General features: G+C 36.3%; 1 annotated feature.

Moving 5' to 3' along the window:
- Positions 9,238 to 10,437: an enhancer, noted in NCBI's record as "P300/CBP strongly-dependent group 1 enhancer chr1:163005147-163006346 (GRCh37/hg19 assembly coordinates)". NCBI's record gives its function as "activates an origin of replication core promoter dependent on BRD2, BRD4, P300/CBP, MED14 and CDK7 cofactors, with strong dependence on P300/CBP, by STARR-seq in HCT116 cells {active_cell/tissue: HCT116}" and the evidence as "EXISTENCE:reporter gene assay evidence [ECO:0000049][PMID:35650434]".

A 13,834-nucleotide genomic window follows, 5' to 3' on the forward strand; every position in this document is an offset into this window, starting at 1 on the left:
AGGTCTCCAGTTGATTATTGTTTGGGGATGGTTTCTTTCTTCATTTACATAAACCTGAAACCCAAACTTGCTATTTTCCTCTAAATATGACAGGACTGCTACCTTTCTATTTTGCCAGGTACCACGTGTTCTTTCTCATTAATATCTTTTGCTTTGAGAGGAATGATCTACAGATCAATAAGGGTGAAAAGGCTTCCTTGCGTTTTGTTTCTTCATATGTAAAACAACTTTGTAGCTCTCTAATCTCTTGGCCTTGCTTTAATGATCCTTAGTTTTAGATCATCTAGTCATTCTCTCTGGTCCTGGTTCAATACAATTTGGTTCTTATTTCTTTTATCTTTTCAAGGAGAAAGCCCCTGGTGAGCCAGGTGGAATGTGATGGTGTAGATATGATTTTCCACTATCATCGATTAGATCAAGGATCTTGAGCAAGTTATTTAAATTCTCTGAGCTCAGTTTCTTCAATTTCAAAATGCTACAAATAATAGCTACTTGTCAAGGCTGTGAGAATTAAATGTGACAATAGTAAAGTATAATTAACAGATGCTAATTAAGCTTGAGGAGGTAATGTTAGAAGTGCACCACAAAGGCTTGATAAGTAAAGCTGGATATAGATTGATGGGGAGGGGGTCAGAGAGTGCCTTGTGACTGGTCAGATTTGAGTCATTATTAGTTATTTCAGTTTGGTCTAAGTTAGCATTTTCCTAAGTATCGACCACCCACACAAGATTAACCCCAATCATGTGTCTCTGTGTGTGTGTGTGTGTATATATGCATGTGTGCTTGCATGTATATACTTATATATTCCACATATATTCACATAATATATATCTATAAATACATACTCTGTATTCACTTTTATCGCATCCATTGAAATGATGTATTTATGTGTCACTTTCCCTCTGAGTTCCTTAACCTTACATCATTCATCTTATGTTCAATCCCTTGGAAATTGTAGTGGTTCAGTGAATGTTTGGGGAAAAAAAGTAAGGGAGAGAGACAGAAAGCCAGTAGAAGGAGAGAGAGGGAAAGAAAGGAGGATAAGTGGAATAGAATGGAATGAAAAGAACAAAATTGAATAAAATTAAATGGTATATTATAATCTGATGGTCAAGAATTTCTACTTTAAAGCCAGAGTATCTAATTTTAAATCGTACTGTGGCTGCCATGTAATAGCTATGTGGTTGGGGGAAAGTTATTTATTCTCCTCTTTCATCTCTGAAATGAGAAAAATAATAGTATGTACCTCATAGGGTAGTTATGAGGATTAAAGGAATTGAACATATAAAGCACTTAAAATAGTGCCTAGACTATAATACACACTCAATAACTTTTGACTATTATAATCTGTTCTTAAAGATTTAGTCCAGGAAGCAGCAGAGTATGTAGGATGAACATGGAATTTTTAATCAAATAAACTTAGTGTTGAATCTCGTGTTTGACAGTTACTATTGTAGGAGCAATTTTTGAACTCCTTAATTTTTTTCTAATAATTGTAAAAGTGTGGGGGATAATAATTAATAAACTACCACTAAGGTTTGATATGAATATTAAATAAGATAAAGTATGTAAAAATGCATAATAGACTTGGCACATTATAATGCTTCATTTTCTTAAGACATGTCATTATTCTTTCACTTATCCACCATTCCATTCTGATATTTAGGAACACTGACATCTAAAATTGCAGCAATTGATTTCCTTGTCTTGTCTACTTATAGCAGTGTATTAGTTTTCATGCATGCATTGATAGATATATTATTTTTCCACCTCAACAGGGAGGAGTAAGTGTGACATTATAATTTTTACCTATATTCATGGAGGCCCTTCTGTAATTAACAAGGACAGGGGAATTCACAGTGGAGCCATAAGAAAAAATAATTTAAGTCTATTCATTATGTTCTTATTTTTGCCTACATTGTCTAGGAAATCAGTCTCCAAATTGTTCAAAAAGCAGATGCTTAGATACTTCCCCAATGCTTACAACTCTAGCTTTCCATCAGTGTGGAGAAGCCTCTAGAAATTTCCAGAGAAGCTGTCACTCTTGAAATGGAAGCAGATACTGTCCTAGTTTTGGTGGGATTTGGACATGAGGGTGGTGGAAGGAAAAATAGTAAGAGAAAGGTGAAATCAAGTTAAAATAGAAACGAACAGTAAGGGTAACTCTGAAAAGCACAGGAGGTCATAGAGGCGTAGCTCGGGAAAGGGGATCTGACTGTGGAGGAAGGGGAACATTGTGAGAGGGACTATGTAGACTGTACATCGAGAGGAGTCCTAGCATTTTTCATATCATCTTAAGGACCCACATCTCTACTCCCAGCCTACGACAGCTGCTGGTCACTGGGTATGGAAAGTGCTTTTCCTAATAGCCTGCTTGTCTGGGCACTGAGAAGCTTCAGGCAGAACGATGAATGGTTTAAACAGAAGAGGGATATAATTGGGAAATAAAGAAAATCCACACCCTGGTTTTGCAAAAAACTAACAATAGACTTTGGGCAAGTTATTTAATCTCTTTGGATCCAATTTCCTCATCTCTGGGATGAAGAGATTGGAGTCCATGACCTCTAACGTTTCCTCCAGATTTGTGAGTCTTTGTTTCTAATGTATTTCTCTTATCCACCTACTCACATTACCTTCTAGATTTAGGATTTGTGGCATTTCCAACTTAATGGAGGGTATTTCTCATCTAGAGCCGTATACCCCAAAACTGGTTCCTAACTCCTTCTCTGGGAATGAAAGAGTTCTATCTATACCAAGTGGCCATTTCATAAGCTTATTTGGTCAGTCTTCAGTGATCTTAAAAAAAAAAAACAAGCAAACAATTTTTTTAAACCCCAAGAATTAAATTTTTGTTTATTTTAAGCTATTGTTTGGAATGAAGACCACCAAATCTTACTCCTTATGTTGTACCCAGTTTAAGGCAGTGGTTCTTACATATTAAAATATGCCTTTCAGATATTCAATATTTAAACAAATAAAAAACTTTTCTCTCTTCTTTTTTTCTCCCAATTAAAATGTGTTTTTTATTCTTGTTGACATCAAGCGAGTGGAATTTTTTCAAAAATATTTTCAAAAATCTGCCTCAGATATGAGATTTCCCTTCAAAAACTGGGACCAGGATAAATAAGTATGAGCAGCCAAAATAGAAAATGTTTTGCAAACTTAATTGCAGCATCTGCTAAATTACGCTGCAGGTGATAGAGATTCCTTTGCCCAGTATAGTCATAGCTGTTACCCTCCCACTGCCTCTGCTCTGATTAGACTTTCATCCTCCCACTTTGATTACCAGAACAGCCTTCTTGCTGGTTGCCCTGCCTCTAGTCTCCCTTGCTCCCAGCCACACTCTCTTTTGCTCCCACGTCACCTACCTAAATCTGTAGACTCCTATCACTGAGCATAAAGGCCTTAGAAAATGATCACGCAAAAATCACATACATCTTTTTCCCAAAACGTGGCAGTGAATCTAGAAAAAACAGCTGAGTCCTTACCACAATGTTTAGGATTCTACAAGATTCAATATGGAGCCGAAGCTAGCTTTCCAGGTGCCTTTCAAATTTTTCTCTAAAAGCCTTCACTCCCTGCTACATAGAGAATTCTTAAACCCCAAATCTATCATACACTATCTCATATATTAATCTTTTCCATTCCCAGAGCCCAGAATATTTTTTTTTCACCTGCATATAGTTTGCCTCTTCTTCAAAGCTTAGCTCAAATGCTTTATTTTCCAGAAAGCTTTCTTGATGGCCACAGATAAAACAATTGTTTATTGTTATTTATTTCCAAACCACATTGCTGTTTAGCACATATTTCATTCCAACTTGTCTTAGAATTGCTTTTATTCATTTTTTTCCTTACTTGAAAGTCAGTAAACTCCACACAATAAGGGTACGAGTATGCCACAATCATTTCCACATCCCATGGGACTTAGCGCAATGTCTGAAACATAGTGGAAGCTAAAAAAATATTGATTGAAATTTAAGGCTGTTCCTTAATTCCAACCCGCTTCCTCATCTCATTGCACTCATATTAAGAAAGCAGGAGAATGAGAAACAATAACAAACGGAGATTAGCAGGGACTCTCTTGGGTGGATTTAGGAAACAAACAGGGAAGATTTCTGGAGAGGAGCACTAAAGAGAAGACATTAGGGAAAATCATATCAGAACAACCGTGGTCCTGACAGGAGGTCTCAAAGCCAGAGAGATTAAAAGGCAAGTGTTGACCAAGCACCATGGCATTCCAAGGTTGAGAGAGAGATTTTAAGTAGTGTTGGTAATGTGTGGGTGTCCTAACGGGAATACTAGCCATACAGTGAACCTTGGCAGTCAAGTGGTGACAGAGAATATATGCTGAGTATGGTGTCAGGGAAGAGGTTGGGGAAAAAGTAAAGCCTCAACTAAGTAAATCGCAGTGGACGAAAGTCCTAGAAAACAAGCTGCGTTTGGTCAGGAAAAGCAAGTCAGAGGTCAACCTTACAAACAAGACTTGGCCCACACCATTTGAAAGTGGGAGACATAGAGGGCCAACCGTGTGGTCATACTCAAGACCTATCTTTATCACACTGGATAGTGTCTCTGGCCAGTGAGTTGAGGTTGCCATTGTATTATTTTCCTGGCCAAGATTTGCTTGAGTTACTTAGTGGGACAGAGCATAATGTAATAGGCTTTAGTGACTGCAGTTAGCGAATCTGAGGAAGGTAGGGACTGGTGGCGGTGATCAGCTCTGACTTCTTCCAAGGTGAATTATAAACTTAAATATCAATCTATCAGGTTTTAAATTGTCTTCTAAAACCTCCATGCAACAGCTATGGTGATAATAGAAAATTTTCCATTAAAAAAGTAGGAAGTACTAAGGATTGTGTTAAAAATTTAGACAGAATTTTCCACTTCTTAATCCACACTGCTCTACAGAATAGATATCTCAGCTCTATTGGCACCATTGCCCAGAGAAAGGAACAAATAAGGGATTTACTTTTCTGTGAATTTGTTGCCTGTATCACATCTGCTTATTTTGAGGCTTTTTGCCTTTCTCTTCTTGGAAATGACCTGAAGTTGCCCTGATATAGTTACTTAGCTTAGCTGAAAGGACAAGGGTAGCATTGTGTCTTGGCTTCATTGATTATCTGTGAACCTGCATAAATGTCTTAATCATGGCAAGATTAAGTTTCCTTATCTGAAGCATGTAGACAATACTTAACTCATAACATTGCTGTAAGGACAAAAATAAAATAAAATAAGATGATCTAGTTGCCATAATTGTGACTATTAATGATAAAGGCTCCATGAAATTCTGCTTTTAAGTAACCTATACAAGTAAGTATTTGACTACAGGATTCTTTTAAAATAACACCTTTTTATACTTTGCATAACTAAAGTTTAATGCTCCATTTTTATATAATACAATTATTACCTTGCTAGCTTCCTAAGCCTCGGTTTTTATAACAGTGAAATGAAATTAGAAAGCCTAGCAGGCTTCTAGAATGTTAAAACTTGGCCTTGTAATTATTTCTTAATTCCATATTTTAGTAATTTCTCTTGTTCAGCCGATGACTAAAAATTTTTTTGAATACAGACAGGAATACAAGTTCCTTATATGCAATGTAGAAAATGTAGAAAAATAAAAAGAATGAAATTTAAATATCGTATATCCACTGTTAACATTTTTATGTACTTTTTATTATTTTTTATATTCCTACATATAAATATATTTTTACAAACATTCATTTGTATACCCTGCTTTCCCCATTCCTTAACAATTTTTCTACAATGTAACAGTCAATAAATGCAAATATTATATCATAAGAATGTAATTTAATCAATCATTTAATTGATTGTTCTCCTACTCTGCTCCTACTTTGGAGCAACTTTCCATTTTTACAAATAAATTCCAGATGTTACCTGGGATAATTTAGATAAGATTTTCTTGACTTCCTCTCCCCATTTTCACATCCTGTGGAAGTTACAAGCTGTTTCTCTATAGTGTTGGACAAATTTCTATGGAGATCACATTCTCATGGCCAGCTCTGGCTCTCTGCTGTTACAGATACCAAGCTAGCTTAATTTCTGGATAACTTTATTCTCTCCCCTCTTTTCACGCCTCCCCCTCTTCATGCCTTTAACACTGGCAAGGAGCTTAGGCCTCTTCTGGGATGCACACACAGACATGGTACACCCCTTCTGTTCCAATGTGTGATAGCAGATCTAGCTGAAGCTATGCTGGAGCTTCTTTAGTGTTCTTCCAGTGGTGTAGTTAAAACTGGCACTAATTTCAAATACATTTGTTTGCTAGATTATATGTCTTTGAATGCGACACCATGGTGAAATGAAGAGGGCCCATGAGGACTGGGTCTCTCTTTAAATTACATTTGAGATAGCCTTTTATAAATACAATTGTTTGGCAAAAGGCTATGATTTTTTTTTTTTTTTGAAATGGTGTTTCACTCTTGTTGCCCAGGCTGGAGTGCAATGGCGTGATCTTGACTCACTGCAACCTCTGCCTCCCGGGTTCAAGTGATTCTCCTGCCTCAGCCTCCCGACTGGCTGGGATTACAGGTGCCTGCCACCATGCCCAGCTAATTATTTTTGTATGTATTTTTTTTTTTTTTAGTAGAGATGGGATTTCACCATGTCGGCCAGGCTGGTCTTGAACTCCTGACCTCAGATGATCCACCCACCTTGGCCTCCCAAAGTGCTGGGATTTCAGGCATGAGCCACCGAGCCCGGCCAGCTATGAATATTTTTATGTCTATGGAAACATATTGCCAAGTTCCTTCCCATAAGTGTTATATTAATTTAGACTCCCACTAGCAGTGTATGAGACTGTCCATCTCACAGGCACTGACTCTTAAAATAAGCTGAAACTCCCACTACTTGTTTCCACACTTAGCCCTGTGAAAGTATTCACAATTCTCACAAGCAGGACTCATATATTTTTCCTTTGTGCACCCACTTCTCTGTGTACATAACTTGTGATAGAACTAATCATGGGGTATCAAAATTATTTGTACATCTAGCTGCTTCTTTAAACCAAATCTCTCAAGGTCAAGGTCAAGTCTTTCTCTCCTCTGTGACCTTAGCACAGAACATAAATGCTGACTGGAACTGGTCAGGTCTTCAGTGCACATTGTTGCTAGACATAGAAACTGATCTGATGAGTGTGAATCAACTACTTCTGAACTCTGAGAAGTACTCAGTCTACTTAAGGCCATTTCGCAGCACAGTTGTACTTTTCCTGTAAGTCCAAACCAGCATTCTCCCAGCCTTCCTGCAATACTTGGACTCACTTGCTTGGCTTTCTACCATTCTCTCTCACACCTACACACAAATCACATGCTGTTTCCTTTGCTTGGAATGTCCTTCCTCCCATTTTCCACATGACAATTTCCCCTTTATCCCTTAAGACTCAATTCAGAATGCACCCCAACATCCCCCAGGAAGAGTTAGTCTTTTTCTTTGCAGTTCAAGGCCTCATTGTTCATACAGCTCTTAGAGTATTTCCATATTATATTGAACTTATTAGTTTAATTGCCTTTCTTTTTCCATAGATGTGTGTTCTTAAAATTATAGGTCACAACTCATCAGTACCTTGAATTAATTTTAGTTATGGCATTCCACATTAAAAGGAAGAACAGAATAGAATACATAGAAAATATCAGAGTACATTTCATAGAGTAAGAATAAATGTTTCATAAAATTTTGAGTGTGTTGTGTGAGTAGGAAGTGTATGGGGCTGCAATACAAAATGTATTTTTTGAGTTTTATTTTTAATTGACAAATAATAATTGTATATATTTATGGGGTACAAGGTGATATTACAATACATGTGTACATTGTGGAATAATCAAATCAGGGTAATTAGCATATGCATCATCTCAAATATTTATCATTTTTTGTGGTGAGAACATTTAAAATTCTCCCTTTCAGCTGTTTCAAAATATTCAACACATTATTAATTATTAACTATATTCACCTTCTTCCTTTGGGTTGTGATTGAATTACTTAAAGGCAACTGCTCTATCTATGAGCTTTAAGGATAGGGATGCTGCCTTATAATCTTTGTATTCCTAGGTTCTTAGATAGAATCAATTCAAAAATTCTTTATGGTACAATGAAAGAATGAATGCAAGACTGAATGAATATACATAACTTGCCTTCAAGCCAGAGAAAGTTTCTTCCTTAAGATCAAAATACCAAGACTGGAGACTATATTTGACTATGCTTTAGTCATAGTTATAGAATGAAGTGCCAGCCAGAGATCCAATCACTTTAGCAAAACCAGTATCTTCAAACACACGACTGATTGGCATCAGCAATTCCATCAAATAACTGACCATTTTATGCTTTAGAATTTCAACTTTCCTATTGGTATTTGGAAAATCTATTAAAACTATATGTGAGAATCCCCAGCCATAGCACTGGACAGCAGCTCACTTAAGAAAGTTGGCTCTCCTGACACCCTGCCTTGGTGCAAATCCTAGCTTTGCTGCTTATTAACTTACCCTCTTTAAGCCTCTGTTATATCATCTCTAAAAGGAAGAAGAGAGTACCTACATCATGAGCCCCAAATGCTTATGTTAATAGTAACCACTCAATAAACGTTAGCTATTAGCGTGTCATAATAGCTAGTTGTGGCAGAGACTACTGATTGCTTGCTTAATATCAGTTCTCTCCTTCATCCTTACTAACAGAATATCATCTATATTTGGGGAAGCATTGTACCTAATTAAAATATTTCTCAGTCTTTGTTTAAAGTTTTTTATTTTTAATTATTATAGATATATACTAGTTGTGCATATTTGTGGGGTACATGTGATGTTTTGATGTGAGCATATAATGGGTAATGATCAAATCAGGGTAATTGGGTGTTGCCCTTTCCTTCTACCTTTCTTTATTCTGCCTGGAATTTGCATATGACGGCTGTAGCTGAAGCTACCATCATGGACCATTAGGCACTCTTGAGCATGAAAGCAATGTGCTAAAAATGGCGGATCAGAAATACAGAAGGAATTTTGAGTCTCTTCTTTTGAAACCAGCTCTGGACTATAATCCTTCAAATTTCTCTTACATGAGAGAAAAATTAAAATCCATCCTGTTTAAGCCACTGTTATTTTATTAAGTACACTGCTGGAACTAATTCTAAGTAATGTAGAACTCATAAATATTGGTGTTTTTTTCAGATTTTAAAACAATTTTAAAGTGAAAAATTTAACACTTAAATTAATACCCATTATGTGAAAGGTACTGAGATATATTTTTTTCTATTTAGCTCTCATAAGATTCTAGAGAGATGAAATTACTATTTTCCTTTATAGATGTTAGGAAAGTTGCAGTTCAGGTATTAAATAACATGAGCAAAAATATGTGACAAGCAGATCAAAGCCAGGTATGCCTAATTCAAAACCTCCTTTCTACCCAATAATAATTGAATATGCCTTAGGGAATACACACAGCTTATTTTCCTACTCAACAGATATCATTGAAAATACAGGGAACACAAATTATTTTTCTACTATAACCAACACAGATGAGTCATAGAATAGGATTTAAAAATCATGTGGATTTAAAGAAAACATGAGACACCAAGTTCAATTTGTAGGGAGGCACATCTAATGTTAGGAATTCTTAGGAAGTAAAAAGTTTGAGACGCACATTTTTCTACCACCTCCTGGGAACATAGGTGGTTGTCTTGACCCTCAAAGTTCCTTGAAAAATAATCAGCCTCCGGAGGTGGGTGGGACATTTCCATGGGTGATTTGCTGCTGAATCATCAGCCCATAATTCACTTACCTCCACTTCCGGCACTATCCTCATCCCTGGAGAATTTGCCTCCTCCTATCCATTTACCCTTCCTTGGCAATAGAAGTATCTTGACCTCAGTGTGGGAAATGCAGCTTCTGAAAAGCCTCAGTTTTGTCAGACAATGAGAGCTGATATTATCATCATTAGTAAGAGAAAGCAATGTGCAGCCTCATGGTTGGTGATGCTTCATCCTCAGATACTTTCTCAGCCTCCTGCCCTTCCTTCCATGGCTCTCTGCCACCTCTCACAGAGGTTTCCCTTTGTTTGATGGAAAGCAGGGGGGCCATTAAAGCCTGCCTTGGGAACATCAATGTGCTGCAGAAAAGCCTTGTTTCTGCCCAGAGGCAGCATGGTATAGAAGACAGAACCTGACTCACCTGTTACTGTGTCTCCTAAAAAGCAAATTACTTTTCAAAGCCAATGTTACAAAGTTACTATTAATTATTTTTATTATAAAAGTAATACATGCTACTATACAAAAATAAAAGTAAAAAGCAAAAAATAAAAAGTAAAAGTTAACCTTGCCCTCAAGGCCATTTCTATCTACTAGAAACATCCACACCCACATCTTACTATTGTCCATAAATTCACAAGTGTATATAAGTATATGCATAAGTGCTTTAGTGGGGAGTCTACTATATATATAATCCTGCCATTTTCTAGTTCACTTAACAATATATTTTGAGCATCTTTCCAAATCAGTCCATTGCCTTTTTCAATAACTTCTGTAACAGTTGTGAACTAGAATATCACAGACTGGGTAACTTATAAAGAACATATATTTATTTCTTACAGTGCTTGAAACTGGAAAGTCAAAGGTTAAGGAGCCCACATCCAGAAAGAGTTTTCTTGCTTTGTCATCCCGTGGTGGGTGGCAGAGGAGTAAGGGAGTGCACACAAGAAAGAGGGGAAAGAGGCTGAACTCATTCTTTTATCAGAAATCCACTCCTGTGATAACTCACCCACTTCCACCACAGTGACATTAACCTACCTATGAGGGCAGAGCCCTCATCCCTAGTCATGTCTTAAAAATCCTGCCTCTCAAGGCTGTTGTCTTGGAGATTAAGTTTCCAACACATGACCTTTGGGGGACACATTCAACCATAGCAGTATCTCATTGTATGGATACACCATAAATTATAAATTCATTTTCCATTGATAGAAACCTAGATTGTTTTCAGTTTGTTTTAAATTCACAAAAATATTTGCCAAATACTTGATAGAGTCAAGTTGTCTTCAACAAATAGCCAAAGAAAAAGAACCCCAAAGGAAAGCATATATTAGTTAAAAAGAAAAGACTCTAAGTGTCCAGCATATGTATTAAAAAGTTACTAAACCTCATGATTCATGAAATATAAACTAAAGAACCCTTGATGGGATGTCATTTTTACCCATCAAATTGGAAAAAAAATAAAGTATATAATAAACAATATTACCAGGGTGTGGGGAAAAGTCACAATCGATTTTGTGCAATCCTTTTTGAAGGGCAATTTGGTGGAATCTTGTCACAATTTTACATGAACATAGGCAGGAATATATAAATATATGTATGTGTGCACACATATATGTGTATATATATGCATGTGTGCACACATATATGTGTATATATATGCATGTGTGTACACATATATGTGTATATATATGCATGTGTGTACACATATATGTGTATATATGGGCATGTGTGTACACATATATGTGTATATATGTGCATGTGTGTACACATATATGTGTGTATATATGCATGTGTGTACACATATATGTGTGTATATATGCATGTGTGTACACATATATGTGTGTATATATGCATGTGTGTACACATATATGTGTGTATATATGCATGTGTGTACACATATATGTGTATATATGTATGTGTGTACACATATATGTGTATATATGTATGTGTGTGCACATATATGTGTATATATGTATGTGTGTGCATATATGTATATATGTATGTGTGTGCATATATGTATATATGTATGTGTGTGCATATATGTGTATATATGTATGTGTATACATATATGTGTACACACACACACATATTGACATTTATTGAAGTTTATAATTGGAATAGTTACCTAACAACTCTGAATTGTCATTGTCACATATGTAAGAAGAGAATAACAATACTTACATTGCCAGGTTGTTATTGTTAGAGATCATATACTTAAAGTTCTTGGAATGGTGCCTGAGCATAGCCAGGGTTTAGTAAGAGGCAGCTATCATGATTCTCAGGAAATCCAATTTCTTCTCATCTCAGCTGGAGACATAGATTTGGTGACTCCTTTACAATATCAGACTAGGGGGAAGCAGCATGAAACACAGGCATAGCCCCGTAAAGTCAGAAGTCTGGTCTCCTAACCCCGCCTTTGCCACTTGCCACTGTGGAGCCCTGGAGAAGTCACTTAACCCTATCAGATCTTCTTTTTCCTTTCTGTAAAATAAAGAAAGTAATACTTTACTACCATTTTGCAAGGTCCTTGCAAACAGAAATAAGTCTAGGTTTATATAAATTACTTAGTGAGATGATTTAAAAATACCACCCAGAAGGAACCTAGACAAATCACCTGTCAACTTCCACGAAATCACATTTGATCCTATCATTACTATTGGGTTTTGATGTATGAATGGGAGGTGCCATAGAACCATTAGCAATAGATGTTTATTTTTTTCCTGTCCATTTCCCAAAGTATTTTCCACAGTACTGACATTCCCTAGTATGTTAAAAGATACAAAGTAAGGAAGAAAAACATTAAAAACAACAACAACAAAAAAAATTAAAAAAAAACCTTTAGGCCAAAAGGGTATAAAAGACTTGACCAAATAAATTTAAACAGTCCTCCTTACTTTTCTTTAAGCAGACTTTTCACAATACTATTCTATGTGGTAAAACTCTTAGGGAGATATAATATGAGTCTTCAACTCATACTTGACTATAGATGCCTTTTGCATGAAACACCTCAAAGAGCTGAGTTCTGTTGAACTCAGGCAGCAAAAAGGCTGTTATGAAGCATCTTTCTAGAAAGATTTAGCTTTAAATTCTAACTCAAATATTTCTTCCAAAAGCCTGGTGTTGAGGGGGTACTATTTCAGAGGATCCAATGCTACCTGAGCATAAAATGTATAAAGGGCAATGTGGTTGATTGTACTGGGGCAAGATGAGATCCTTGAGCCGAGTCTTAAAGGATGAATAGATATTTGCCAAGTAGGCAAAATGGAACCATCTCCAAGAGTAATTATTTGACATAATTTAATGTGCAACAACATCCTCATCACTTTCTTCCAGATATTTCACAGTTGCAATCAGTGGAAATTATGTGACTAATTCAAGCCAATAAACATCATTGCATTCCAACTCATTGGGAAGAATAGGAATCATGAAAACACAGTCATCATCCTAAAGAAATTAATAATGTAATGATGAGAAAGGCATATAAAAATAACTCTAACAAGCAGAAAAAATCAATGTATGCTATTAATAGAGGTATAAGGTGTTATGGAAGCACAGAGGAAATAGTTTAACTTTGATTTATGAGAATGAGTTAGGGGAAGAATTCAGAGGAGGAGGTGGAGATAGATGCAACTGATCATTTCCCTAAATTGCTTTTATATGCAACTGAATTATTTTTCTCACTCCAGGCCAGGAGCTGAAGCCATAACAGACTGTTAAAGTAGAATGTATAAAGGCTGAATGAGGTTAGTCATATTTTATTACCCTTCAGATGACACATTTTTACCCTATACTTGCTTTTACTAAGACTCCATTGACAGGCAGGACTCACAGAGAAAACGTTACGGGAAGGACGAACTCTTTCTCATTAATATCTGGAATTTAAGATTAGTAAAAAGGAAGAGTTAGAGTGGCTTTAGAGTTCCCCATTTTAGTTTACTGTTGGGAAGGAAAGGGTTCCCTTCTATCAAGCTCACTTAATGTATCCAATTTTTAGAGGGTTTTATGCTTTACAAATTAGTTTTGATTACTCAGCAAGAACTTAATGCTACCTTCCTTGGGTTAGGAACAAGACAGACTCTTGAAGGA

The sequence above is a fragment of the Homo sapiens genome, chromosome 1 (assembly GCF_000001405.40).
Source record: "Homo sapiens chromosome 1, GRCh38.p14 Primary Assembly".
NCBI lineage: Eukaryota > Metazoa > Chordata > Mammalia > Primates > Hominidae > Homo > Homo sapiens.